Here is a 26,513-nt window from a genome sequence, read left to right as displayed (position 1 = left end):
GCCCCACATAGGCACGCAGGGACGTGGGGACAGGGACGGTGTGACCAGGCCCTTATGAGGCCCGCACTCACATCCCCAACTCCTGGGCTGGCCACAGAGGCATTTACAGCTGGGATCCGGTCAGCTGTAGGCACGCTCACACCTGTGTCCTATGAATCGCCACTTGGCCCGTATGTGCACACTCAGCTTGCAAGGGGCCAGCCATATCCAGACGCATGTGCAGGCAGCTGTGTGGACATGTGTGCAGCCTGGCTCAAGGACACACATGCACACGGTTTCACCACCACGGCTTCTCTCCAGCCTTCTCTTTATTTTCTCCAGGGCACCAGCCCCTCTGCCAGCCTGAGTCCAGGGCTCCTAGGCACTCTACCTTGCCCTTGCCATTCCCAGGGCCTCCCCGCGGCCCCGCAGGGGAGGGAGGCTCAGAGCACAGTCTCGGCAGTGCTAGGGTCATCGAGGAACTGGCTGACGCGTTTGGGGTGCTGCAGGCCTGGCGCGGGGTCCACTCCCACTCCTGCCTCCTTCTGCTCTTCGGTGTCCTCGTCCTTCCCCTGGTCCTTGGAGAAGTACAAGAATACCTAGCGGTGGGCAGCCCAGAGGGGACAAGAGGGACGGTCAGCCCACGGGCCTGGCCCCCAGCCTGCCTCCCCCAGCCCGACCCCGGCGCCGTGATCACCTCCTCCAGCATCGTCTGGCTCACGGAAAAGTCCTCCACGCCGTGCTCTGCGCCGTGCACCGCCAGCTCTCCAAAGACGCGCGCCAGGGCGCAGCGCCCTCCCGGCGGCAGCTGGAAGCGCAGGCGGCCTCCATGTGCCTCGCGCAGCTCCGCCCCAGGGAACTCGGCCGCCACGAAGGCCGCTGCCGGCTGGGACCTTGCGGCGGGCACCCGCAGGGTCAGTGTGTGACCCGCCGCGAATCTGCAGTGAGTGGGGCCAGGGCTACCGGATCGGGCCTTTCCCAGGTCCCACCTCAGCTCACCCTCCAGCCCCTAATACTCTCTGGCCCCGCCCCATACTTGTACTACCCTAGCGATCAAGTGGTCCTCCCGTCTCAGTCCCCCGCCACCCCCCGCCCGCGTAGCTGAGACCACAGGCACACACCACCATGTCCAGCTAATTTTTAAATTTTTTATAGAGATGGGGTCTCCCTAGGTTGCCCAGGTTGCTCTCGAAGCTATCACCCCACTTGACTCCTTTTTCGGACACTCCTCTTTCGCCCTTGCACTCTACCCCCGCCCACACAATAAATACCCCCGCCCCACTTTCCTATGGCCCCGCCCACTAACCAGGCCCTCCCCTAACTCCACCCATCAATCCACCCTCACCTCTCCAGGCTGCACCTACTCCAACGCACACCTGATTGTGTCTTCTAAATCCACCCAGAGCCCCCGGCTCACGCCTCCTGGTCCTGCGCCCCCAGCACACCCCAGCCTGTCTCGCCCCCTCAGTCACCCCTGCAGGACAATCTAAAGCCTTGGCCATCTCTCCAGTTGGAGCCAAACTTTCCTCACCCGGCTCTACGTCTGGCCTCTCCCCTGAGCCTACCTACGTGCCCACCCTCACCCCACACCTGCCTGGAGGCCGCGCCGGCTCACCTGCCCTTGAGATGTTGCGGGCTGCCCAGGCAGCGGAACCGCCCATTCACCATGATGGCCAGGCGCGAGCAGAGCGCTTCACACTCCTCCATGCTGTCGGGACCCGGCACCACGAGCTCCGTGAGGCCGGGGCCACCTGTGCCTGGCGCCACACTGCCTGCTTCCCCCGGCCTGGGCCACCCTTCTGGTGTGGACATCTCCCCACTCTTCCCCAGACCGTTCTGATCCCGGCGCCGCGTCCCACCTCTGTGTGTCCTTACACCCCGGGGCCTGGCGCCCTCGCCCCACTAGGGCCAGGACCCCCCATCCCCTGTGGCCTTGTGCTTTGGGGCTCTCTCTCCAGGCCTGGATCACCTTAACCACAGCCCAGGGCATCAGAGCCCGGCCCACCTATGGGAGGTGAGCATCACTGAACGGCCCTCCCGCACCACGGCCAAAAGGCTGTTCCAAAGGAAGCGCCGCGCGCTGGGGTCCATGCCTGTGGTCGGCTCGTCCTGGGGAGCACGGAAGATCCCATAAGCAAGGCCCCGCCTCCGTCGCAGGCCCCACCCCACCCAGGCACCGCTCCCACGCACCAGAAACACCACGGCTGGGTCCCCAACCAGCGCCAGGGCCGTCGCCAGCTTGCGTTTGTTCCCTCCGCTGTAGGTGCCTGCAGGCCGGTCTGCGTACCATGAGAGTCCCAGACGCGCCAGGCCCGAGCCAGCGGTCTGTGGGGTGGGGCCAGAGTAGGCATGGGGACTCATATTGATGAGTATGGGGCAGGGCCACAGTGTGGCGGGGCCAGCATTGAGTGTGGAGCAGGGGCATAATGGGCATGGGGCAGGGCAAATGTGAGAATGGGACATAGTGTGGTGGGGGCAGCATGAGTATGGGGCGGGGCCATGGTGTGGGTGGAGCCAGCATGAGTATGGGGCGGGGCCATGGTGTGGGTGGAGCTGGGATGGGTGTGGGGCAGGGCCATAGTGTGGGTGGAGCCAGCATGAGTATGGGGCGGGGCCATGGTGTGGGTGGAGACAGCATGAGTATGGGGCGGGGCCACACTGGTGGAGCCAGCATGAGTATGGGGCGGGGCCATGGTGTGGGTGGAGCCAGCATGAGTATGGGGCGGGGCCACACTGGTGGAGCCAGCATGAGTATGCGGCGGGGCCATGGTGTGGGTAGAGCCAGCATGAGTATGGGGCAGGGCCATGGTGTGGGTGGAGACAGCATGAGTATGGGGTGGGGCCATGGTGTGGGTGGAGCCAGCATGAGTATGGGGCGGGGCCATGGTGTGGGTGGAGCCAGCATGAGTATGGGGCGGGGCCATGGTGTGGGTGGAGCCAGCATGAGTATGGGGCGGGGCCATGGTGTGGGTGGAGCCAGCATGAGTATGGGGTGGGGCCTTGGTATGGGTGGAGCTGGGATGGGTATGGAGCAGGGCCATGGTGTGGGTGGAGCCAACATGGGTATGAGGCAGGGCCAGAAAGGGCATGGGGTGGGACAGTGTGAGGGTGGGGCGGGCCAGGGCAAAGACAAGACCCCCAAGCAGATGGAAGAGGCAGTGAAACGGCTGCAAACTGGGAACGGCCAGAGTGAGAATGTGACCGTGACCCCAGCGAGAAAGGCGCGAAGCCCTAGGGGGTAGGCAGAAGAGGAGCAAGTGGGCAGGGCCACAGAAGGCAGAGTCAAGGAGAGAGGGGCAACGTGCAGCGGAAGGAAGGGTGGGTGGACCAATGAGAATGGTGGAACTTGGTGTTGCGGGGCAAAGAGGCGGGCTAGCCACATCCCTATTGGACCAGGATGGGGGACAGAGGTATAGGGGAAGGAAGCACGGTCTGGGGGCAGGGACAGGGATGGAGCCAAGGCGAGAGAGTGCGGGATTGGGCCAGGCTTTAGAGGCACGGCCTGGGTCGGGTGGGCCCTGGGAGGTGAGAGCGGTGGGGACAAAGTGGGCTCACCTGGGCAACCTGGGCCTCCGGGACACCGCGCAGGCGCGCAAGCAGCTCCAGGTGCTCGCGGCCCGTCAGCAGCTCAAAGATGGCATCGGATTGAGGGCAGTATCCCATGCTGAGGTGCGCAGCACTGGGTTCCCGGGCCACGCTGGGGATGGGGGCGCCGGGGGCTCAGAGAGCTGGCTAGTCCCTGACCATACTGGTGGCTAACACAGGGGTCTCAGGGCCCACCCATCCAGGGCCACGCTGATAAGGGACAGGGGTGTCTCAGGGCCTGGTCCGCGTGTGGGAGGTAGAGGTGCAGGGGTCTCAGAGACCATGCAGGTGTGGGGCAGTGAGCCCAGTCCATTCACTGGAGGTGGAGGGGTGGGGAAGCACAAGGACGTCAGGGCCAACCCTGCCCCACCCTGACCCTACCTGGCACCCCTCACCTGTGGCCTGCCAGCACAGCCTCGCCCCTGCTGGCCAATGTGTCCCCCGTCACCATGCGAAACGTGGACGTCTTCCCTGCTCCATTCACACCCAGCAGCCCAAAACACTACAGGGATGCCCACAGATGGTGCTCAGTGAGGCCCCAGGCCCTGGTTCCGGCATCTCTGATTTCTTTTTTTTTTTTTTTTGAGACCAAGTTTTGCTCTTGTTTCCCAGGCTGGACTGCAGTGGTGCGATCTTGGCTCACTGCAACCTCTGCCTCCCGGGTTCAAGCAATTCTCCTGCCTTAGCCTCCCAAGTAGCTGGGGCTACAGACGCCTGCCACCATGCCCAGCTAATTTTTGTATTTTTTTTTAGTAGAGATGGGGTTTCACCGTGTTGGCCAGGATGGTCTCGATCTCTTGACCTTGTGATCCGCCTGCCTTGAACTCCTAAAGTGCTGGGATTACAGGCGTGAGCCACGGCACCCAGCCTCTTTTTTTTTTTTTTTTTTTTTTGAGACGGAGCCTTGCTGTGTCACCCCGGCGCAATGGCACGATCTTGGCCCACTGCAACCTCCACCTCCTGGGTTCAAGCAATTCTCCTGTCTCAGGCTCCGGAGTAGCTGGGACTACAGGCGTGTGCCACCAAGCCCGGCTAATTTTTGTATTTTTAGTAGAGACGGGGTTTTGGCATGTTGGCCAGGCTGGTCTCGAACTCCTGACCTCAAGTGATCCTCCTGCCTTGGCCTCCCAAAGTGCTGGGGTTACAGCTGTGAGCCACCACGCCTGGCCTCAGCACCTCTGATTTCTGAGTGTCCACATGGAAGGCCGTGGGTGGGGCCCCGGGGGAGCTAGGCAGATATTGGGGTATGTAGCGAGGCATAAAGCTGTCACTTAGCAGGGAATGGCTTTTGGCACACAGTGGGTACCCTATAAAGGTCGTGTGCAGCAGTGCTCAACAAATATCAGGGCATGAGCTCTCCATATGTTTCCTGGCACACTGTGTGTACTTAGGCTAGGTGCACAGTCAGCCCAAGGTAGAGAGGTTGGCCAGCACACAGTAGGTGCTTAGTAAAGATATACTGTGGGCCAGGCCCAGTGGCTCACACCTGTAACCCCAGCACTTTGGGAAGCCGAGGTGGGCAGATCACCTGAGGTCAAGAGTTCAAGATCAGCCTGACCAACATTGTGAAACCCCATCTCTACTAAAAATACAAAAATTAGCCGGTTGTGGTGGCGGGCGCCTGTAATCCCAGCTACTCAGGAGGCTGAGGCAGGAGAATCGCCTGAACCTGGGAGGCAGAGGTTGCAGTGAGCCGAGATCGTGACACTGCACTCCAGCCTGGGTGGCAGAGCGAGACTTTGTCTCAAAAAAAAAAAAAAAGAAAAAAACAAAGGCCGGGCATGGTGGCTCACACATGTGATCCCAGAACTTTCGGAGGCCAAGGTGGGTGGATCATTTGAGGTCAGGAGTGCAAGACCAGCCTGGCCAACATGGTGAAACCCCGTCTCTACTAAAAATACAAAATCAGCTGGGCATGGCGGCATGTGCCTGTGGTCCCAGCTACTCGGGAGGCTGAGGCTGGAGAATCGCTTGAACCTGGGAGGCGGAGGTTACCGTGAGCCAAGATTACACCATTGCACACCAAGCTGGGTGACAGTGAGACTCCATCTCAAAAGAAAAAAAAAGAAAAAAAAATATATATATATACTGCAATGTGTGCTAACAAACAGCACTTGTTTGCAGATGTGTACCAGCCCTAGTAGGTGGCCAATAAGTGGCACACAGCAAATACATTTGTATATAGTAGGTGCTTGAATGTGAACTGGTACAAAGCAGGTGCCTGATAAATGCTGGCTGTGAGCAAGTGCTTGATGTAGATGTGTATACAATAGGGGTCCAATAAATTCTATTGGTATTTGATAAACGTTGATGGACACAAAAGTATTCAGTACACCTCTTTAGTGAGCACAGTGTGTGTTTAACAGAGGTAAGCATGCAGTAGGTGCTTAATGAGGTTTTGTTGGCTCAAGATAAATGCACAGGCCAGACGCAGTGGCTCACGCCTGTAATCCCAGCACTTTGGGAGGCTGAGGCGGGTGGATCATGAGGTCAGGAGATCGAGACCATCCTGGCTAATATGGTGAAGCCCTGTCTCTACTAAAAATACAAAAATTAGCCAGGCGTGATGGCAGGCGCCTGCAGTCCCAGCTACCTGGGAGGCTGAGGCAGGAAAATGGTGTGAACCCGGGAGGTGGAGCTTGTAGTGAGCCGAGATCTCACCACTGCACTCCAGCCTGGGCGACAGAGTGAGACTCCGTCTCTAAAAAAAGATAAAATAGGGCAGGTGTGGTGGCTCACGCTTGTAATCCCAGCACTCTGGGAGGCTGAGGCGGGTGGATCACGAGGTCAGGAGATGGAGACCATCCTGGCTAACACGGTGAAACCCCGTCTCTGCTAAAAATACAAAAAAATTAGCCGGGCGTGGTGGTGGGCGCCTGCAGTCCCAGCTACTCGGGAGGCTGAGGCAGGAGAATGGCATGAACCCGGGAGGTGGAGCTTGCAGTGAGCTGAGATCCCACCACTGCACTCCAGCCTGGGAGACAGAGTGAGACTCCATCTCAAATAAATAAATAAATAAATAAATAAATAAATAATAATATAATAAAATAAAAATAGGAGCACAAATATTGGCATACAGTAGGTGCCCAATAAAAGGTGGTGGATACACAGTAGGTGTTCAGTAAAGGATGATGGGCAGGGCATGCAGTAGGGCAGCCACTCACTGTCCCTGCACCTGGCCTCCACCCCTGGACTCACCTCACCAGGGGGAATCCCCAGGCACAAGCGGTCAACAGCTGGCATCCTCTGCCCACGGTATACCTGGGAGAGTGCAGGTCTTTCAGAAAGGTGAGTGGGCCAGTGGGAGCACCCCCCACCCAGCAGTCGACCTGACCACACCTACCTTGGTCAAGTTCCTCAGCACCAACACATCCCCCTGGGTGGCTCCTTGGACCACCCGCTCCCGTTCACGGGCTACATCCTCGTCCTCCTCTCCCAGGAGTGGCAGAGACCTCACCCTGGGCCTGGGGACAGAATATCTGTGGGCTTAAAGTAGGTCCTTGGCCCCTGCCACCCTCTCCATAGACCTCACTAACTGTGGCAGGAGTTGGCTTCGGTGCTGCAGCAGTAGTGTGAAGAGAAGGAAGAGGGGCCCCTGTATCACCATGGCCAAGAGGTTCTTGCCGACCACCTCCCAGCGCAGGGGTGACTGGAACTGCCTGTCTCCTGTGGATATAGAAAGGAGGGACTGGGTCCATGAGAGTCTTGGTTTCTGGCCCTTTCTCCATCCATGTCACTCTGGATTCTTAAGGGAAAGGAACACAAATTGGATAGGCCACTCAGCTGGAGTCTAATTGGCATAGAAAACAGAAGAGGCCTCTTGTGATGTAATCTAAGAATTAGCTTTTTATGGCTGCTTTCTTGTACCTCCAACTTGGCCCAACCTTAGGGCCACCTAAGAACCCTGGCTGTCTCCCTGGGGGGCTGTTTTTCTCCACTCTGTATAATTAACTCTAGGTCTCCAAGGGTGCTAGCTATCTGTAGCCATGGCCCCACCTGACAGGAAGTTCTCACCCAAGCGCTCAAAGGCATCAGCCATGGCCTGGTTCCGCACCATGTCAATGAGCCCCCGGCCCAAGCAGAAGTGGGGGAAGATAAGGAAGACCTGTTTCAAGATCCGGCTCACCTCCTGCAGCTTCTGCTCAAGGGTGGGAGACGGATGTTGGTCAGGGGCTGAGTCCAACGACCCAACCCAGCCCAAGCCCCAGCCTCGTGGTGCCCCACCTGATCAGAGAAGAGCTCAAGCACAAAGGTGGCCATGCTTCCATTGATGCCAATAAAGAGGTTTATGCAGGTGAGCACCACATAGGCTGTGCTGGGCACGGAGAAGAAGAAGGAGGCTGGGTACATGAGCGGTGTGATCGACCAGCTGAAGGGACAATAGGAGTCACTGGAGTAACCACTCAGACTGAGAAGCCCTGAGAGGAATAAAAATCTCCATTCCCATCTTCTCTGCCTTAGACCTTGACATTTTCACCCAAAGCACATTTCTGTTTTTTTTTTTTTCTTTCTCTCTTTCTCTTTCTCTCTCTTTCTTTCTTTTTTAGAGGTGGGTCTCTCTATGTTTCCCAGGCTGGTCTCAAACTCCTGGCCACAAGCAGTCCTCCTGCCTCGGCCTCCCAAAGTACTGGAATTACAGGCATGGGCTGCCTTAGAACTCTACTAATATGAGTCAGGATAAGATGAGCTTTTAAGGCCACCTTGGCACACCACTGAATTGGATCACACACGGCATCACCTCAGACCTCCATATCCTCTCCTTGGGAGTCACTGCAGAGTTCTATCTCAGCAGCATTAATGTGGAAGGCAGTAAGGGGTCAGTAAGAATAGGCCCTGAGGGACTGGGGGCCTCACCCATACAGTAGTAGCAACAGCAGGAGAGCAGGCAGGTTGGCAGGGGCCACATATGCCCTCTGCTGGAAGGCCAGAAAGATGAGCACCACGATGCATGCTGGCACCAAGTAGTTACACTGCATTGGAGATGGCAGTTACCTTTATCAGCCTAAAGAGGTGGGCACTGCCACCCTCAGCCCTGTTCCCACCCTGACCTCCTTGCTTTTTGAGTAGGAAGGCACAAAGTCTCCCACAATCCTCAAGACTTTACCCAGGCCATCTTGGACAAGCCCCTGCCTACAAGGGGCCAGACAGGGCAGTGGCAAGCAGTGGCTGGGCCCCCACCCGTCCAAGCAGCCCCCGCACCATGTCCCAGAGAAAGTTGCCAAGCCAGTAGAGGGTGGGGGACAGGCCCCCCATGAGCTGCAGGTGCTTGGCTCGGGTGACTCGCTCCTCAATGAGGACAAGAGTGAAGCTGGCCGGGACAAAGGACATGGCAAAGACCACACAGATGGAGACGAGGACGTCCACCGAGGAGGCCATCCTGGAGGTGAAGACATGAGAGCTGTTGTAGGGTGAGGGTGCATGGGTTGCTCAGAGCAGAGCTGAACACGCCATTGATGGGACAAAGGTCTATGGGGCAGTCAGCAGTGGCAGAGATGGCAGGGGCAATTTAGGGATGAGGGTGCCTGGGATTTGGCAGCAGAGGTTGTACAGGTCTCAGGCAGGATAAAGGTTGGTGGGATGAGGATGTGTGGGGGAGGCTGGGGCCCGCTGAGTCTGAGGAGGTCCCATTTCCCTGGCTTAGGGAGCAGAGGAACAGTTTCTATCCCCCATTTATAAAGCAAGAGTGTGTCAGGGTTCAAATCCAGCTCCCACCACCCCAAACGACAGAGAAATGGAGGCAGGGTAGGACGTGCAGGGTAGGACATGCAGGGTGGAGGGACTCACAGTGCACCCTCAGACAGCTGCTCCTTGGTGAGGTTCAAGGGGTGGTTGAGTGTGGTGATGCTGTGGGCGTGGCGGGCCGGGCCTGGGGGCAGGTGAGCACGGAGGATTGCGTTGCTGGCTCGGTTGACAAAGGCCACCATGGAGTGCCAGCCTTTGTTGTTGAACCAGATCTGGGTGGGGGTCAAGGTCATAGGGTCAGAGCAATGGGGTTGGACCTTGCTGTGACAGGACGCCCACCTGCCCCCCCAGTTCCCACCTTGAGACTGTCCTGAGCATCCAGGCTGTGAGCCCAGGCTGTGAGGTTTTTCAGGACACGGTCGAGGGCCCCGCCAGGCAGGGGACTCAGCAGCGCCCACAACTCCTCCACTGAGCGGCCCAACTCTTGGCCCGAGGGCAGGCCTGGGTCTCGGCCCCCCAGCGAGAAGCCTCCGTATCTGTGGGGCCATGCAGGCAGGGAAGGGGAGCTGAGGGCCGGGGGGGCCGGGAGAGCTCCCAGGGGGCAGGCAGAGGGCATGGGAGTGGAACTGGGGCAGGGGACCCCAAGCTAGACCCCTCCTCACCTGACCTCATTCACCCACTTCTTAGTCTTCAGGCTGTGGGAGAGATGGACAGAGACACAGGCAGACAGGGATGTGGGACAGAGAGAGAGATGGTGAGAGGGGAGCACAGAGTCAAGGGTGGACAAAAACAGGAAAGAAAGCCGGGCGCGGTGGCTCCTGCCTGTAATCCCAACACTTTGGGAGGCCAAGGCGGGTGGATCACCTGAGGTCAGGAGTTCGAGACCAGCCTGGCAACACGGTGAAACCCCATCTCTACTAAAAATACAAAAATTAGTCGGGAGTGGTGGTGCGTGCCTGTAATCCCAGCTACTCGGGAGGCTGAGGGAGGAGAATCGCTTGAAACTGGGAGGTGGAGGTTGCAATGAGCTGAGATCACACCTCTGCACTCCAGCCTGGGCAACAGAGGGAGACTCCATCTCAAAAAAAAAAAAAAAAAAAAAGAGGAAAGGAAGGTACGCGAGACTCCCAGCCCGTAGCCCCAAGCTGGGCATCCAACCCCTCCACTTCCTCCTCCAGGACCACACCAGCCCCAGCAACCCAAGGACCCATGCTATAGCCAGGGAAACTGAGTCCCAGGGCATGGCTCACCCCTGGCGCACCAGGCGCGGGTAGGTCTTGACCAGGAAGTCAGACAGGTTCCGGCCTGTCAGGTTCTGAACCACTTCCCCAGAGCCGGTCACTGCCTGGGGCGGAGGGGGACCACCAGCTGCAGCCGGGCAGTCGGGCAGCAGGCGCCGGGCACCGGGCCGGCTACACTGGCAGGCTGGGGATGGAGACTCTGGGGTCCAGTTGCCACTGGCCAAGACCTTGGCCACTTCAGCAGGAACTTCTGGTGCCGAGAACCTGCAGACAATGGGCTGTGCACACTCAAGGGCGCTGCAGGGTCAAGGTGAAGGTCTGTGGGCACCCAGCTTCTGGGGGTTCCTGGAGCCACAGAGGCTCCCAGCTCCCAGGTGGGCACAGGGGATGCTCCAGGTGCCCCCTGAGGCTCCCTGGCCAGGGACCAGATGGGAAAACTGAGGCCAGAGAGGGGAAAGGTCCAGGCCAACAAGACGCCTCACCTGTGGGAGCTATGCTGCACTGGGGGCTCCTCCAGTCCTGCCTCCTGCAGCAGCGCCTCGAGCAGCCGGGCACGTCCAGGGTCCCCTGGGGCGTCCTCACTGTGTGTGAGGGGAGATGTAGGGTCAGGGCTGTACCCCCAGGTCCCTAGTCTTCCTGCCACCAGCCCCTTCCTTCTGCACCCACCTGAAGAAGGACACCTGAGCACCGTACATGGTGGGACTGAGCCGCAGAGCCGGGTAGTGCCCGAAAGGAGGCACGATGAGGCTGAACACGAGGGCCAGGCCCACAAAGAGGGCAGGCAGCACGATCTGGGGGACCAGCCCATCAGCTGCTGCTTCCATCCACCCTCCAGGCTTGCTTGCACCTGTCCCTGCTCCTGCTCTACAACCACCCATGGCTCCCCAGTGCCCTCAATAAATGTGCTTTGGGTTGGGAATACACACGGGGGTAAGGGTTTGGATTAGGCCACTGAGTGGACGGCCAGGGTAGGGAACTCAGGGACTCCCATGCGACTCCCTGGTGCTAGCCCTCCTCACCTGGGCGAACAGGCCGCGGCGGCTGCGGCGGGCAAGCAGAAAGCGCTTGAGAAGCAGGGCCTGGAGCTGCTGGCGGGTCAGTGCCCAGCCCTGTACCCGGCCCACGGCGTCTGGCCCAGAGCCCTGGTCAGTCTCTGGGGCTGACCCAGCTGTGAGGGATGAGAGGGTCAGTGCTCACGCTGCTGTGGGGGGGTGGCTGGGAGGACCCCAGGGCCACTGGGAAGGACTTACCTGGTTCCCCGTTCTCCAGCGCTGTCTCCTGTGGCGGCATCTTGAGCCGTAGGGTTACGTCTAGGCCAGCAATGCCTGTGCATAGGTGCTGCCCGCAGCTGCCATCTGCAGGGCCATCAGGGGTCAGGGTCAAAGTTGAGGGTCACGGATTGGGGGATCAGGAATCAGGTATAGGGTAAAGGCTATGCCTTGGGCCACACTAAGCCAGGGATGGGGACCTGGCCTCTGGTCCCACTCTGGACTGGGGTCAGGGGTCAGGGAGCTGTGGCCGCACCCTCCATATCTGTGTCCGCAGCACACTCCTCCACCACCTTCAGGAAGATCTGGGGAGACAAGCAGGGGCTCAGAGACTGGACACCGACAGGGAGAACTGGGGGCTTGTGAGCCCCCCACCCCTCCTACACCATGGGTCCCCCAGGCCTTCCCAAGGGACATCTGAGCCACCAGAGCTCCTCATGTGCCATGCCTCCTCCCTGAATGTCCTTGCTGCTCATAAACACGCTATTCATCCTTCAAAACACCACCTCCTCCAGGAAGCCCTCCTCCTGGCCCCACCTCACCACCACCCAGGCCTCACACCTCCTCGAGGCTGGTGTCGGAGATCCCGTAGCCAGTGAGCCTCAGCTCCGCCAGCCGCGTGTCTAGCTCTCGGAAGAGTGTGGCGAAGCTGCCGTCATGGGCACCCGTGTAGGGCAGCACCAGCACCAGCTCGTGTGGCAGCTCCTCCACCAGCCGTGCCCCGGGCACCCAGTGCTGTACCAGGGCCAGCAGCTGAGGAGTGCCTGTGTGGACAAAGGGGTGCTTCAGGGAGCCCCGGCTCACGCCCCACCCCAGTCTCCCTGGGGAAGAGGCATTGGTGACCTGTGAGGGGACTGTCCCGGCAGACAGAGATCAGGGTTAAGAACGTAGGCCAGGTGCGGCCGGGCGCAGTGGCTCACGCCTGTAATCCCAGCACTTTGAGGGTTGAAGCAGGCAGATCACCTGAGGTCAGGAGTTTGAGACCAGCCTGACCAACATGGTGAAACCCCATTTCTACCAAAAATGCAAAAATTAGCCAGGCATGGTGGAACCCACCTGTAATCCCAGTTACTCGAGAGGCTGAGGGAGGAGAAATGCTTGAACCCAGGAGGCAGAGGTTGCAGTGAGCTGAGATCACACCACTGCACTACAGCCTGGGCGACAGAGCAAGACTCAGAAACAAACAAAAAGAGATCTTGAGGGCAGTGCTGGACCTAGTGTTGGAGGTCAGGGGTAGGTTTGTCTCTGGGCTCAGCCCTGGTTGGGTTAAAGGTGGGGTCAGTGTTCAAGTTAGTCTCATGGTTCCGGCTCAGCCCAGGGATGGGGGCATCATCTCAGGTTCTCAAGTGCTCTCCTCCTCCTCTCCTTCTCCTCCCCCTCCTCTCCCTCCTCCTCCTCTCCCTCCTACTCCTCCCCCTTCTCCTCCCCCTCCTCTTCCTCCTACTTCTCCCCCTTCTCCTCCCCCTTTCCCTCCCCCTCCTCCTCCCCCTCCTATTCCTCCCCTTCTGCTCCCCTCCTACTCCTCCCCTTCTTCTCCCCCTCCTCCTCTCCCTTCCCCTCCTCCTCCCCCCTTCTCCTCCCCCTCCTCCTCTCCCTCCCCCTCCTCCTCTCCCTCCTACTCCTCCCCTTCGCCTCCCCTTCCACCTCTTACTCCTCCCCCTCCTCCTCCCCCTCCTCCTCCGCCTCAACCTCCTCTGCCGCTTCCTCCCCCTCCTCCTCCTCTTCCCCCTCCCCCTCCTCCTCCTCAAGTTAAGGCACAGCCACCCCACTGCCCACCCGCCTTGGGTCTCCCACCCCGGCCCTCACCGACTCTGCTGCCCTGGCTGCCATTCTTCTTTTCCTGCCTGGTGTCCACACTGCCCTCCATGTCAGTGTCAGCCTGCGGGCAGAGAGGCACCAAGTGGCTTGGCCTTCAGGGCTGAACAGAGTCCCGGGGGTCAGGGGTCAGGAGAAGGCCGGTCCCCACCTTCTCATTGGTGGTCAGGGGCAGGCGGGCCTTCACCAGCGTCAGGTAGTAGCCGGAGCCCAGGTGACGGCGCAGGAAGAGTGGGGAGCCACAGCAGCACAAGCGGCCACCTGCCACCACGGCCACACGGTCTCCCAGCAGCTCTGCCTCATCCAGGTGGTGGGTGGAGAGGATCAGCGTGCGACCTAGGCACGGGGGACCAACCCACAACTACCATCAGGCCGCCGCGTCTTTGCCCGAGCTGGGGCCTCTGCCAGGAGTTGTCTGCCCCATGAAGCAAACTCCTATTCATCCCTCAAAACCTCATCCCCAGAACCTCCTTGTTGGAAACCTTTTCTGGCCCTTCAGGCAGAATCCAGGGGAACCTCTGTCTATCCCCAACTCTTACTGTCTCGGTATTTGAGCAGTAGCCCCTAAATGCCATAGCAACAAGTGGGGTCCACATGTAGCAAACTCCTACTCATTCCTCAAAACCCCATCCCCAGCACTTCCTTGTCAGAAGCCTTTTCTGGCCCCTCGAGCAGAATCCCCAGCTCTTACCTTCTCGGTATTTGAGCAGCAGCTCCCAAATACCGCGGCGGGAAGCAGGATCCACGCCAGCCGTAGGCTCGTCCAGGATAACAACTTGGGAGCCGCCCACAAAGGCAATGGCCACGGACAGCTTCCGTTGCATCCCACCTGGTAGAGATGGGGAAGGGACCTCAGTGTGTCACACCCAGCCTTGGGCAAGGTTGCCTACCCACGTGGACCTCAGTACCCGGCTTCCCCCTGCCTTCAGGATGAATCCCCAGGCCCCTCCCTGTGAGGTGACCTCCCTTGGGGATGGGCTCACCAGAGAGGTGGCGAGTCTGCACACTCTGCTTGGAGACCAGCCCCACATCCTGCAGCAGACGGTCCTGCTCGGGGCCCACTACAGCGGCACTCAGACCCTTCAGCCGCCCATAGAACCAGACGTGCTCGTCCACGGTCAGCCTGCGGCCAGTGCACAGAGCAGAGTGACCCACATGGCAGGCAGAGTCCCAGAGGGCGTCCAGTCCCTTCCCACCGCTGCACTCTGGGCCTGCCGAGACGCACATGTCAAACAGCACGTTGTACTGAGGACAGACGCCCAGGTGGGGCCGGATGGCGGCCATGCTGGAGCGGACGTCGTGGCCCAGGATGAAGGCAGAGCCACCACTGGGTGGGAAGAGGCCACTCAAGATGGACCTGTGGATAGAGGGGTCTCAGAGTAGCCCCCTTCACAGAGTGCACTGGCAGTTACAGAGCTTCTATTTTTAATTTCTGTTTTTAAAAAATTTTTAATTATTTATTATTATTATTATTATTATTATTATTATTATTATTTTTGAGACGGAGTTTCACTCTGTTGCCCAGGCTGGAGTGCAGCGGCACGATCTCGGCTCACTGCAAGCTCCACCTCCCGGGTTCACGCCATTCTCCTGCCTCAGCCTCCCGAGTAGCTGGGACTACAGGCGCCCGCCACCATGTCCGGCTAATTTTTTTGCATTTTTAGTAGAGACGGGGTTTCACTGTTTCACCATGTTAGCCAGGATGATCTCAATCTCCTGACCTCGTGATCCACCCGCCTCGGCCCCCCAAAGTGCTGGGATTGCAGGCCTGAGCCACCACGCCTGGCCACAGAGCACCTATTAAATGCTACATCCAAAACCCTGTGATAGCCTTATTTTTATTTATTTGTTTATTTTTATTTTTTTGTGACAGAGTCTCACTCTGTTGCCCAGGCTGGAGTGCAACGGCACAGTCTCGGCTCACTGCAACCTCCGCCTCCAGGGTTCAAGCAGTTCTCCTGCCTCAGCCTCCTGAGTAGCTGGGATTACAGGTGCACGCCACCATCACACCCGGCTAATTTTTGTATTTTTAGTAGAGATGGTTTTGCCATATTGGCCAGGCTGTGTCTCAAACTCTGACCTCAGGCAATCCTCCCACCTCGGCTTGCCCAAGTGCTGGGATTACAGGCGTGAGCCACCACTCCCGCCCTATTTATTTTGAGACAGGGTCTTACTCCGTTGCCCAAGCTGGAGTGCAGTGGCGCCATTACTGCTCACAGGGAGGGACTGGTCGGGGGCCTCACAGGGAGCTCACAGGGAGGAAGTGGTGGGGGGCTCACAGGGAGGGAGTGGTTTGGGCGGCTCACAGGGAGGGAGTGGTGGGGGACTCACAGGGAGGGAGTGGTGGGGGAACTCACAGGGAGGGAGTGGTGGGGGGGCTCACAGGGAGGGAGTGGTGGGGGGGCTCACGGGGAGGGAGCGGTCGGGGGGCTCACAGGGAGGGAGTGGTGGGGGGGCTCACGGGGAGGGAGTGGTGGGGGGTTCACGGGGAGGGAGTGGTGGGGGGGCTCACGGGGAGGGAGTGGTGGGGGGTTCACGGGGAGGGAGTGGTGGGGGGCCTCACGGGGAGGGAGTGGTGGGGGGGCTCACGGGGAGGGAGTGGTGGGGGGTTCACGGGGAGGGAGTGGTGGGGGGGCTCACGGGGAGGGAGTGGTGGGGGGTTCACGGGGAGGGAGTGGTGGGGGGCTCACGGGGAGGGAGTGGTGGGGGGGCTCACGGGGAGGGAGTGGTGGGGGGTTCACGGGGAGGGAGTGGTGGGGGGCTCACGGGGAGGGAGTGGTGGGGGGGCTCACGGGGTGGGAGTGGGGGGGCTCACGGGGAGGGAGTGGTTGGGGGCTCACAGGGTGGTGGTCTTGCCGGCCCCGTTGTGGCCCAGGAAGGCGGTGATGTGGCCCTGGTAGAAGTCCAGGCTGAGCCCCCGCAGGGCTGGCTGCGGGCTTCCAGGAAAGCGCTTCTCCAGGCTGCGAACGGAGACGCCAGGACTCAGGCCGGGCGGTGCCTCTTCTACCAGCACTGCAGAGATGGGGTGGACTCAGCCATGGAGGTCATGGGGGTCCTGGGGCCTGCAAGTCCCTCAGAGCTGGGCTGTGGAATCCGGGACCTGCTGGGCCGGGGCCTATAAAAGCTGCGGGAGCTTGGGGACCGCAGTGTCTTCAGGGCAGGTGTGAGGGTTGGGGTGTCCAGGTCATTGTCATTGGCATCTGTGGAATCTCGTTTTGGGGGGGAACTGGGCATATGTGGACAACCAGCTATTAAGCCTCGTAGTGCCTCACCCTTTGGGTCCAGCGGGGTGGGGCAAGGGGCTGGACTCTTGGGGGGCCGAGGTCCGCACCAGTAGCTCCTCCGAAAAGGAAAATTCCATGGTTCAGGGATCCCGTACTGGCCTGCGGGGAGGGGCGCGGGTTATTGCTTAGCCCACCCCCCAGGAGTGTACCAGGCTTTTTTTGGGGTTTTGTTTTTTTTTTTTTTTGAGACGGAGTCTTGCTCTGTTGCCCAGGCTGGAGTGCAGTGGCACGATTTTGACTCGCTGCAAGCTCCGCCTCCCCAGTTCACGTCATTCTCCTGCCTCAGCCTCCTGAGTAGCTGGGACTACAGGCGCCCGCCACCATGCCTGGATAATTTTTTGTATTTTTGGGAGAGACGGGGTTTCACCGTGTTAGCCAGGATGGTCTCCATCTCCTGACCTCGTGATCTGCCCACCTCGGCCTCCCAAAGTGCTGGGAAAGCAGGCGTGAGCCACCGTGCCCGGCCTTGTTTTTTTTTTTTTTGTTTTTTTTTTTTTGAGACTGAGTTTCACTCTTGTTGCCCAGGCTGGAGTGCAGTGGCGCGATCTCGACTCACCGCAACCTCCGCCTCCGGGATTCAAGCATTTCTCCTGCCTCTGCCTTCCAAGTAGCTAGGAAACAGGCACCCGCCACCACACCCAGCTAATTTTGTATTTTTAGTAGAGACGGGGTTTCTCCATGTTGGTCAGGCTGGTCTCGAAATCCCGACCTCAGATGACCCGCCCGCCTCGGCCTCCCAAAGTGCTGGGATTACAGGCGTGAGCCACCGCACCCAGCCAGCTTTTTTTTTTTTTTTTTTTTTAAAGAGATGGAGGTCTCACTCTGTTGCCCAGGCTGGTGGGATCACGGCTCACAGCAGCCTCAACCTCCTGGGCTCGAGTGATCCTCCCACCCCATCCTCCCGAGTAGCTGGGACTACAGGAGCGTGCCACCACGCCCAGCGTGCCACCACGCCCAGCTAACTTTTTGTATTGATGAGGTCTCACTATATTGCCCAGCCTGGTCTCAAACTCCTGGGCTCAAGCGATTCTCCTGCCTTGGCCTCCCAAAGTGCTGGGATTACAAGCGTGAGCCACAGCGCCCGGCGACTGTGCCAGCTTCTGGCCATACACCTGGAATCAGGGCGTCCAGGTATGAGGCGGCCCAGAAACCCCGCCCACCTGCCTCAGGCCCCGCCCCTCCAATGCAGCCACCTGCATGCGTGTGCCAAGAAGCCCCGCCTTCTCTCCAAGGGAATAAGCCACCCCCCACCCCCAAACGGCCTGGAGGCCACACCCCTAGCTCAGCCTCCCGCAAAGCAGGTGCGACCCGGCCCGGAGCCCCGCCCCCTACGGCCCACCTGGGCACACAGCTTCCAGGTACCAGGTGGCGAGGCCGTAGAGCGCCGCGTCCAGCAGCAGAAGGCCAGAGACCTGGGCCAGGCTGAAGACGTCTGCCGTAGGCCGGGTGCCCACGTTGTGCCACTGCGCGCCCTCGCCCTGCTCCTCCAGCAGAGCCAGGCTCTCGCAGCCGAAGCCGAAGGCCACGGGCGACAGCAGGCTCTGCGGAAAAGCGGGCGGTCAGTGAGCGGCCGAAGCGGGGGGCGTCCCCCATCCACGCCCGACCCGGCTCTCACCGCGGCCACGCGGCCACCCGCGGGCAGCCGGTCCCGCCAAGCCACACACAGCACGTAGGGCAGGTAGAGGGAGAAGTAGGCCAGGCCGCCGCAGGCCGCAGCCAGGTTGGCGCGGGAGAAGAAGGCGCTGAGCAGGAAGCTCTGGGTCACCGTGGCCACCGCGAAGGCTGCCAAGAACAGGAAGACCACGCCCGGGTGGCTGTAGGGGAGGATGTCTCCCAGCTGTGAGAGGCAACGGGAGCTTAGGGTGCAGCTCCTGGATTGGCCTGGGGGCGCGCACCCACGTGGGGCCGCCCCTGTCTGTCACCCTCCAGCGCACCCATTCTGCAGCCGGGCAGGCCGAGGCGCGCCCACCTTGAGCACCAGAACCAGCAGTGCGGCGCTGAGCAGGAAGGGCCCGAGGCAGCTGAGGAACCAGCCTAGCCAGAGCACCGCGCGGCTGAGCCCCATGGCGCGCATGGTGTCCCGCAGCCGCGTCTCCTTCTCCCGCACCACGGCCTTCACTGTCAGTGTCACGGAGTAGATCCAGGCCAGCGTCAGGAAGAGCGGCAGCGACCGGCTCAGCACACGCAGGAACCTGGGGTGGGGACGGCTGGGGTGGAGGCTGGAGACCCTCCGCAGACCCCCCCTCCGCCCACCATCTGGCACGACTGGTTCGTGTCCCGGGATCTCAAGGCGGGAAGATTTGCCTCCCTGTTCCTTGGAACCTGATCCAGCCAGCCTTTGGCTCTCAGGCATCAGTGCAGCCCAGGCTGTCCCTGCGCCGGGGGCCCCCAGACCCTCAGAGTCCCCCCCCCCACCAGACCCTCAGAGTCCCCTGCTCCTCCCGCTGCAGCAGGTCACGTGGAGTGGTGTAAAGGTGCAAAGTTCGCAGCCTGGACCGCAGGAAGGTTCCCAACAGAGCCTGGGCCCACCCCCACACCCGGGACCTTCCCGCCGCGGGGAAGAGCGGGGAGGGGTGCCAGAGCTCACACGTCGTCCACATAGCACGGATAGGGCATCTGCTGCAGGTAGAGGCCGGCCCGGGGGTTGGCGCCGCTGAGCACGCGGACGGCTGCACGCTCCACCAGGTCTTGCAGGTACACGAAGCCGCCCCACACGTAGCGCAGGTCGGTCAGGGGGTCCGCGGCTGGGCCAGGGTCCCAAAACCTGCGAGAGGGGCATGGTGGCCGGTTGTAGGGAAGGGCTAGAAACTCCCGGGGCCCCACCCTGAATAACCTTTTTCTTAGACAGGGTCTTGCTCTGTCGCCCAGGCTGGAGTGAAGAGCTGCAATCATAGCTCACTGCAGCCTTGACCTCCCGGGATCAAACGATCCCCCCAGCTCGGCCTCCCAAGTCGCCTGGCTAATTTTATTCATTTATTCATTTGTTTGAGACGGAGTCTCGCTCTATCGCCCAGGCTGGAGTGCAGTGGCGCCATCTCGGCTCACTGCAACCTCCGCCTCCTGGGTTCAAGCGATTCTCCTGCCTCAGCCTCCTGGGTAGCTGGGCCTACAGGCGCGTGCTACCACGCCCGGCTAATTTTTTGTACTTTTTTTTTTTAGTAGAGGCAGGGTTTCACCGAGTTAGTCAGGATGGTCTTGATCTCCTGACCTCGTGATCCGCCCGCCTCAGCCTCCCAAAGTGCTGGGATTACAGGCGTGAGCCACTGTGCCCGGCCTCACCTGGCTAATTTTTAAAGATATTTTCGTGAGGTTGGTGGGGGAGGGGGGCGGGGGGGAGGCGGTCTCACTATGTTGCCCAGGCTAGTCTCGAATACCTGTCCTCAAGAGATTCTCCCACTTTGGCCTCCCAAAGTTCTGAGATAACAGGCAAGATCTACTGCGCTCAGCACCCGGTGCAATTTTAGCTCCACCCTTATTCCAGGGACCTAATAATACACCTGGCTCCGCCCACCATTGCCCTCAACCTATACCTGCTCTCATCTTATCTCAGGCCCATGGCCACGCCCCTCATGCACCTAGGCCCCGCCCATCACGGGCCCCTATTGGTCTAAGGAGCCCCGGGCTCTGGCTACCATACCACTGTTGATACAGCCCAGATCCTGTCTATCATGGTCTCCAATAGGCTGAATGCTGCCTGGCCCCACCCACCACGCTCTTGGCCCCGCCCAGTCCCTCATCCCCCCGCCCCCTCCCTCGCCTGACCTGTCCCTGATCTTATTGGTCCTCGTGACCACGTCAATGTCCATGCGGATTTTGATGCGCACGTGGCCGGGGCCCAGGTCTGGGGTTGGGTGCTCTGTGGGGTCTGAAGAGTCCTCAGGTCCCAAGAAGACGACGCCGGCCCAGAATCGATGTTCCGCGAGCAGTTGCAGGGCCCGCGACACCAGGGCTGCCTCTGAGGGTGCCGCCTCCAGCTTGTCCAAGGACAGGCACTGTGGGATGCGGGGGTGAGTCCTAGGCGCTGGGGTCCGCCTGCCTCCTAGACCACTCCGCTCCTCCCCCTGGACCTCGGGGCTGGGCCATGTTTTCCCCTCGTAGGCCCACGGCCGGCTCCCTCCTGAGATCTCTACAAATCCCAGGCTCTTACTAGGGCCGGGCCCGCCTCCCCCTGGGAACACCAGGGTGGGAACACTAGGATGGGACCTGCCCTCCCCACTGAAACAGACCCCGCAGGTGGACAGGCCCTCACCTCCGTCACTCGGCCCAGCGTGCCCACCAGGTGCCCCACATCAGCGTGTGCGTCCTGCCAGCTGTAGCCACCGCTCCCAGGGTCCAGAAAGGATCGCAGGGCCTCCATGTGGTCCCGGCCTCCAGGTCTGGGCTGCCTTCTTCCTTCATCCTGCATCTGCAGGAGCCGCTGGGGGGCGCAGGTGAAAGTGAGAGTCTGGGTCGGGCACAGTGGCTCATGCCTGTAATCCCAGCACTTTGGGAGGCGAGGCGGGTGGATCACCTGAGGTCAGGAGTTCGAGACCAGCCTGGCCAACATGGTGAAAGCCCATCTCTACTAAAAATACAAAAAGTAGCCGGGAGTGGTGGCGCATGCCTGTAATCCCAGTTACTTGTGAGGCTGAAGCAGGAGAATTGCTTGAATCCAGGAGGCGGAGGTTGCAGTGAGCCAAGATCTCGCCACTGCAGTCCAGCCTGGGCAACAGAGTGAGACTCCATCTCTTAAAAAAAAAAAAAAAAAAAAAAAAAGCAGGACGTGGTAGTTCACGCCTGTAATCCCAGCACTTTGGGAGGCCGAGGCGGGTGGATCACGAGGTCAGGAGATCGAGACCATCCTGGCTAACATGGTTAAACCCCGTCTCTACTAAAAATAAAAAAAAAAAATCATCCGGGCGTGGTGGTGGGCGCCTGTAGTCCCAGCTACTCAGAGGGTGAGACAGGAGAATCGCTTGAACCCGGGAGGTGGAGGTTGCAGTGAGTCGAGATCACGCCACTGCATTCCAGCTTGGGCGACAGAGCGAGACTCCATCTCAAAAAAAAAAAAAAAAAAGTGGGGGTCTGCACGGAGCCCACCTTCCCATCCACCGGGCCTGTCTACCCTCCTCACCGGGGAGCCACATCCCACCTCCCCAGCACCCCCGCACACCTGCAGCATGGCCACATTGGAACTGTCGTTCATGAAGGTGAAGATCCGGGGTCCCAGCATCTCCCACACCTCCCGGACATCCCTCAGCAGGGTGAGCTCCTCGAAGGTCCGGTTCACCTGTGGACAGCACCCCCTCCACTGATGACCCTCTCCTCCTCTGAGGACCCCTGCCCACCCCCTGCCCCCTCTGCCTTGCTCCTGCGTGTGCCTCTGATCCTCCGCACAAGCTGATCCCCCTCCATCGGCTAACTCCTACTTCTTCAAATAGTTTCCGTGACCCTCCGGCCTGGCCCTGGCCCACCTGGACTGAGGGTACTGGATGGGCTCTGGCCACCACCCTCCCACCCCAGCATCCAGGCTGCCCCCACCTGGGCCATGAGCTTCCGGGTAAAAGGTGTATCTGGTGCAAAGAGTAGCTTCCCGAGGATCAGAGGCTTCAGGCGTCTCCAGAGCAGGCGGGACAGCGGGTGGCTGTCCAGGGCTCCAATCAGCTCCGAGCAGGCGGGGCCTGGGATGGGGGTGCCATGAGGCCCTGCCCCCCTGCCCAGAGTTCCACTTCCCAAGAGGGGAAACCGAGGTCAGTCACTCACTCAGGCTGCTGTCTGGCAGGGCGGATTCTGGCTCCTGCCCCACCAGCTCCATCAGGTCACTAGCCTCGTACCAGTTGAGGGAGGGGCCCACTGTGCTGCTAGGTCCCCTGACACTGCAGAGGGCCTCTGACAGCAACTCCAGGGGGCCGCTGGTCCCTCGGGGTCTCTGCAGCAGTGCCCGAAGCTCCACCAGGCTGCGCAGCGCCAGGAGCTAGAGAGAGGTTACCAGACGGAGCTGGCAATGATCCCACCTCCAAGCCCTAACCAGGGCAGGGCACTGGGCCAGGGGCAGCCTCTCCCTCTCGCTGTCTAATCCTCCTGAAAACCCACCCAAGGGAAGTGCCCGGGCTGCCCCAGACCCTCCCGGCGCAGGCTGCCTGCCAACGTTGCCTCCATGGGGGTTGAGGATGAGTGGGGCCTCGTACCTCCTGGGCCAGGTCCTCAGCGGCCTCCAACAAGCTGTGCAAGGGCTCCTGGGCTTGGCCCAGTGCCAACCCCAGGGATTCCTGGGGAGAAAGACCACAAGGGGGACAATGATTTTGAACACTCACTAGGGGTCCAGCGCTCTGGCCAGTTCCCAGGCAGACCATACTATCATAGCCCCCACTTTACAAATAGGGAAACTGAGGCTCTGAGAGGCAAAGGGACTCATTGGAGATCTCACAGACGAGTCTTCCTCACTGGGTCAGACACACTCTGTCTGGGGGCCCAGACGGACAAGCAGCATCACCGCAGAGACCAGGGACAGCCTGGATGCCTGGAACGGGAGGTCCTTGGCCCGGGGTGGGGCAGTGCCAGGACATCCCCAGTGCAGTGTCCCAGGAAGTCAGCGCGGTCCCGCCCCGACACCCTACCGTGCGCAGCAGTGACGTCAGCAGCTCCGCGACATCCAGCATGGGTGGTTCCAGTGGAGACTGCTTGGTTGGTTGAGGCTGGGCTGGGGGAGGAGCGCACGGGAGCATGGGGCTGGGGGGACGTTGGTCTGAGGCACCCACCCCCACCCTGTGCCCATTTCACGGCCCGGCAAGTTGAGGCTCAGAGCTCAGCCCTGCCAGAGGCCCCCCGGCCTCCTCACCCGTGCTGCGTGCAGCCCTCAGCGTGGCGATCAGCTTCCCTAGGCCAGCCAGCGTCCTGTGGGCACTGGCCCCTCCCAGCACAGTGCGGGCATCGGCTAGCAGCCGGGAGACCCTGGGGACAGAGAGAGGGCAGGAGGCGGGGTTCCGGCCGGCACTGCAGCCCCGAGTTTGCAGGCCGGCCGCACCCACTGCCTCTGGCTCACAGGGAGTCGTTGAAGTTGCTCAGGCGCCCGGGCTCCTCGCCCGGTGTCAGCTGCGGAAAGCAGGTGTTGTTCACATTACAGATGAGACCCTGGAGCCAGGGCACGGTGCCCGCCGATGGCAGTGGCTTGTTTGGGAAGTGGCCTGCGGGGAGACGCCTGGTGCTGAGGCCCTGTGGACTCTGCCTGACTCCACCCCCATCGGGTCGCCCGGCACCGCTTGCATGCCTCCAGCGATGGAGAGCTCACTCCCATGCCATGTATTGGCGGCCTGGTGAAGGCTCCCTGACATGCACGGGGGATTCCTGTGCACGGGTGAGCCATCTGCCTTCCCCTACACACACAAAGTGCCTGGTCCCTGGGGGGGCTCACATTCATGGTGCTCCAGGGGCGGGTGGGAGTGGCGAACAGCCACCAGGATGAAGAAGAGGAAGAGAGGCCACAGCAATTCGACCAGGAGCTGGACCTGGGGGAGAATAGGTGGGAGACGGTGGGGGACAGTGGGGGCTGCCTGCCCACCCGGCCCTGGTCTCACACTGGGGCGTTACCGGCTGTCTCCGGCGATACATGAAATTCTTCCAGAGCAGCAGCATCAGCTGTGTCCAGAAGGCCATGGTGAGACTGGGCAGGGGACGGGACAGAGAGGTCAGGACAACGGTCGGGCTGAAGACGTGCGGTGCGGCTGCGGGCAACTCCCTGCCCCTTTCTGAACCTCATTCCTTTATCCCACAGCGCAGGGTTCCTGGAAGCTCTGATTAGAGCGAGGCAAACAGTAGTCACTCGATAAAGAGGCTCCGCTACCCCAGGGGTGGAGTAAACCAATGGGAGCGCAACCCGCAGCCGTCCTCGCATCTGATTGGCTGCCAGGACTGTCGCTCTGAGCAGGGCTGACAGCTGGGGACTTAAAGATCATCCTCTAATCCTCCAGGGACCGAGTTTGGGCTTAACGCTTTCGTCACCAGGCTCCACCCCAAGCCTCACCTGGAAGCCTCTTCCAGGTCCTGACCCCCAGCCTCCTGCCTGGCCCAGCCCAGGCAAGGATTCCTTTCCCCTCACTGTTCTCCGAAGATAACAGCAACGAATATTGGCAGTGCTGGACATTTCACACGCCCAGGGGAAGTGCTGGACTATCACCCCACTCTACAGAAGTGGAAACCGAGGCCCAAGAAAGCAAACCCAGGCACCCAGAGAGACAGGCAGTTGCCCAGCTGGAGGCACGACCCCAGCTCTGCCCACACCTTATGTAGCATTAATCGCTCAGAGGGACCGCGGGAGCCAGAGAAAGAGTCAGGCGAAGGGGCTGGGATAGAGACTCCTGGAGTCAGCGATTCCTGATCTATTTTCCTTGGGCCGGTCCACCTCTGACACAGATGGAGAATCTGACGCTGACAGAGGGGCAGGAAGTTGCTAAAGGTGACCAGGCCGGAACTGGGACCTCAGACCCAGACCCTTACGCCAGGGTTCTTTCCTTTACATCAAGCGGGACTTAGGATCTGGGGGAGTGGGCTCAGTTTCTCCATTTGTAAGACGGGGCAAGGGGGAGTGCAGGAGTTCTAACGGGCAGGGGGCTGCAGGTGTGTGATCGGCAAAGGCCCTCTTAAGGGTCCCAGATGTCCGATGCCCCCCTTGAGAATCAGTGATCAATTCAGCCGTCGTCAACATTCACCGGAAGGAGGTCAGAGGCTGGACCCCCTAATTCCCAGGGAACTTGCATCCCTCCCGGCCCCAACCCCGCATTCTCGAGTCTCGGGCCTTCTTCCCTCTCCGAGTCCTTCTCACCTTCCAGGGGCTCCGCAGCTCTTGCCGCCTTCCCTCCGCCCAGCAGCAGGCAGGGAGCGCGCCGCCCCTTAAGCCAAGTGCGCTGAGCTTGCCCGCGCAGGTAGCAGCGCCGGGGCACGCCCCTGCCTCTGCACGCTGCTATTGGGCGACCTGCCCGTCACTCACTGGCCTGCTCCGTCGGAGCTGCGCGGGCCAAGGGAGGAGACGGGATCACAGAAGGGCCTCGCCTAGCCGGGTTTCTTAAAGGGACCGCGCGGCTCTTGCTGCATCACCGTAGGGTGGCGGAGTGCCCGGCAGGTCCCAGGCAGGCCGCCCTCCGGGAACGAGGCTGCGCTGTCTTTGGGGAGCCAGGCTGCCTCCCCACGTTGTATAACCGGCTGCAATACCGCAGCTCCGAATTGCAGGAGTTCCCTCTGTCCCCGCTGTCCCCGGGGCTGGCCAGGCTCCCTCTAGTTTAGTCCAGACTCTGGGACTACACTCGTCCGTCTGTAAAGTAGGGGTTCCACTAGATCATTCGTTCATTCATTCATTCCACGAACGCTCCTCGGCTTCTGCAGAGGATGGCAGGAGGGGGAGGGGGCCAACATTCTAGAGTCTCCGATTATAGTGGCTACCCTGATTTTGAGGAAAACCCGTTTCCCACTCTGGAAGAAGAGTTGAAATAAACTCTTCAGGCTGGAGGTGAAGCTGAAATGGGAGCGTGTGGGTCCACAGCTTTGAAGGCGCTGGGGAGAGTGAGAGGCGTGGGGACGGCTCCCGCGGCAGGAGGTGGCATTGCCGTTGGGGCTTTGAGGATAAATAGGAGTTCGCCAACGGGGAGACATCCAGGCTGAGGCCACGAGACTTGCGCTGTAAGGTAGAG

General features: G+C 60.5%; 1 protein-coding gene across 22 annotated transcripts, besides 11 other annotated features; it reads right to left on the bottom strand.

Annotated features, from left to right (window-relative positions):
• On the bottom strand, positions 276–25,741 carry ABCA7 (ATP binding cassette subfamily A member 7). Of its 22 annotated transcripts, none has more exons than NM_019112.4 (47): positions 25,652–25,741; positions 24,421–24,623; positions 24,245–24,338; positions 23,876–24,017; positions 23,672–23,784; positions 23,451–23,533; positions 23,022–23,102; positions 22,597–22,807; positions 22,375–22,514; positions 22,007–22,123; positions 21,104–21,271; positions 20,617–20,846; positions 19,442–19,618; positions 18,824–19,046; positions 18,470–18,691; positions 18,194–18,395; positions 16,843–16,953; positions 16,411–16,582; positions 14,796–14,927; positions 14,554–14,693; positions 14,262–14,399; positions 13,722–13,906; positions 13,562–13,634; positions 12,317–12,519; positions 12,012–12,060; positions 11,738–11,842; positions 11,507–11,655; positions 11,154–11,278; positions 10,970–11,068; positions 10,497–10,751; positions 9,909–9,941; positions 9,605–9,782; positions 9,349–9,518; positions 8,764–8,941; positions 8,419–8,534; positions 7,789–7,933; positions 7,579–7,702; positions 7,101–7,230; positions 6,908–7,028; positions 6,763–6,825; positions 3,960–4,066; positions 3,535–3,676; positions 2,170–2,304; positions 1,985–2,088; positions 1,595–1,687; positions 677–917; positions 276–578 (listed from the first exon to the last, which is right to left on the bottom strand). In NM_019112.4, exons 2-47 carry the CDS (start codon positions 24,484–24,486, stop codon positions 423–425), a joined length of 6,441 nt encoding a protein of 2,146 aa, NP_061985.2. In that variant the 5' UTR covers positions 24,487–24,623; positions 25,652–25,741; the 3' UTR covers positions 276–422. The 22 variants fall into 22 exon arrangements, 18 of the variants coding, with proteins under 18 accessions (NP_061985.2, XP_006722679.1, XP_047294001.1 ...); XM_006722616.2 differs by having other exon boundaries at positions 7,789–7,879; XM_047438045.1 differs by having other exon boundaries at positions 16,386–16,530.
• Positions 712–761: a silencer, noted in NCBI's record as "silent region_9656". NCBI's record gives its function as "represses an Ori minimal core promoter by ATAC-STARR-seq in GM12878 lymphoblastoid cells {active_cell/tissue: GM12878}" and the evidence as "EXISTENCE:reporter gene assay evidence [ECO:0000049][PMID:35858748]".
• Positions 1,825–2,677: an enhancer, noted in NCBI's record as "H3K27ac-H3K4me1 hESC enhancer chr19:1063170-1064022 (GRCh37/hg19 assembly coordinates)". NCBI's record gives its function as "activates a minimal SCP1, AML or CMV promoter by ChIP-STARR-seq in naive H9 embryonic stem cells {active_cell/tissue: H9 hESC(naive)}" and the evidence as "EXISTENCE:reporter gene assay evidence [ECO:0000049][PMID:30033119]".
• Positions 3,518–4,281: an enhancer, noted in NCBI's record as "H3K27ac-H3K4me1 hESC enhancer chr19:1061566-1062329 (GRCh37/hg19 assembly coordinates)". NCBI's record gives its function as "activates a minimal SCP1, AML or CMV promoter by ChIP-STARR-seq in naive and primed H9 embryonic stem cells {active_cell/tissue: H9 hESC(naive and primed)}" and the evidence as "EXISTENCE:reporter gene assay evidence [ECO:0000049][PMID:30033119]".
• Positions 9,165–9,664: an enhancer, noted in NCBI's record as "H3K4me1 hESC enhancer chr19:1056183-1056682 (GRCh37/hg19 assembly coordinates)". NCBI's record gives its function as "activates a minimal SCP1, AML or CMV promoter by ChIP-STARR-seq in naive H9 embryonic stem cells {active_cell/tissue: H9 hESC(naive)}" and the evidence as "EXISTENCE:reporter gene assay evidence [ECO:0000049][PMID:30033119]".
• Positions 14,111–14,311: a silencer, noted in NCBI's record as "peak3219 fragment used in MPRA reporter construct". NCBI's record gives its function as "represses an SCP1 promoter by STARR-seq MPRAs in K562 erythroleukemia cells {active_cell/tissue: K562}" and the evidence as "EXISTENCE:reporter gene assay evidence [ECO:0000049][PMID:32103011]".
• Positions 14,568–14,732: a silencer, noted in NCBI's record as "fragment chr19:1051115-1051279 (GRCh37/hg19 assembly coordinates)". NCBI's record gives its function as "represses an EF-1alpha promoter that drives an FKBP-Casp9 reporter gene in an ReSE screen in phorbol 12-myristate 13-acetate-treated (for megakaryocytic differentiation) K562 erythroleukemia cells {active_cell/tissue: K562(+PMA)}" and the evidence as "EXISTENCE:reporter gene assay evidence [ECO:0000049][PMID:32094911]".
• Positions 20,333–20,382: a silencer, noted in NCBI's record as "silent region_9655". NCBI's record gives its function as "represses an Ori minimal core promoter by ATAC-STARR-seq in GM12878 lymphoblastoid cells {active_cell/tissue: GM12878}" and the evidence as "EXISTENCE:reporter gene assay evidence [ECO:0000049][PMID:35858748]".
• Positions 20,473–20,622: a silencer, noted in NCBI's record as "silent region_9654". NCBI's record gives its function as "represses an Ori minimal core promoter by ATAC-STARR-seq in GM12878 lymphoblastoid cells {active_cell/tissue: GM12878}" and the evidence as "EXISTENCE:reporter gene assay evidence [ECO:0000049][PMID:35858748]".
• Positions 23,897–24,694: an enhancer, noted in NCBI's record as "H3K27ac-H3K4me1 hESC enhancer chr19:1041153-1041950 (GRCh37/hg19 assembly coordinates)". NCBI's record gives its function as "activates a minimal SCP1, AML or CMV promoter by ChIP-STARR-seq in naive H9 embryonic stem cells {active_cell/tissue: H9 hESC(naive)}" and the evidence as "EXISTENCE:reporter gene assay evidence [ECO:0000049][PMID:30033119]".
• Positions 23,897–24,745: a biological region, named in NCBI's record as "H3K27ac-H3K4me1 hESC enhancer GRCh37_chr19:1041153-1041950".
• Positions 24,606–24,745: a silencer, noted in NCBI's record as "silent region_9653". NCBI's record gives its function as "represses an Ori minimal core promoter by ATAC-STARR-seq in GM12878 lymphoblastoid cells {active_cell/tissue: GM12878}" and the evidence as "EXISTENCE:reporter gene assay evidence [ECO:0000049][PMID:35858748]".

This window comes from Homo sapiens, chromosome 19 (assembly GCF_000001405.40).
Source record: "Homo sapiens chromosome 19, GRCh38.p14 Primary Assembly".
In the NCBI taxonomy this organism is placed as follows: Eukaryota; Metazoa; Chordata; class Mammalia; order Primates; family Hominidae; genus Homo; species Homo sapiens.
Note: the sequence above shows the minus strand (reverse complement) of the source record. Positions and strands in the feature narration are given on the sequence as shown.

Excerpts from the sequence above, each read along its gene's own strand:
- ABCA7 (NM_019112.4), bottom strand. The coding sequence starts at position 24,486 with ATGGCCTTCTGGACACAGCTGATGCTGCTGCTCTGGAAGAATTTCATG. Across the intron at positions 19,619-20,616 it reads ACCAATAAGATCAGGGACAG|GTTTTGGGACCCTGGCCCAG; the intron begins GTCAGGCGAGGG and ends CCCCTCTCGCAG. Across the intron at positions 11,279-11,506 it reads GCCGCGGCCTGTTCGCCCAG|ATCGTGCTGCCTGCCCTCTT; the intron begins GTGAGGAGGGCT and ends CTGGTCCCCCAG.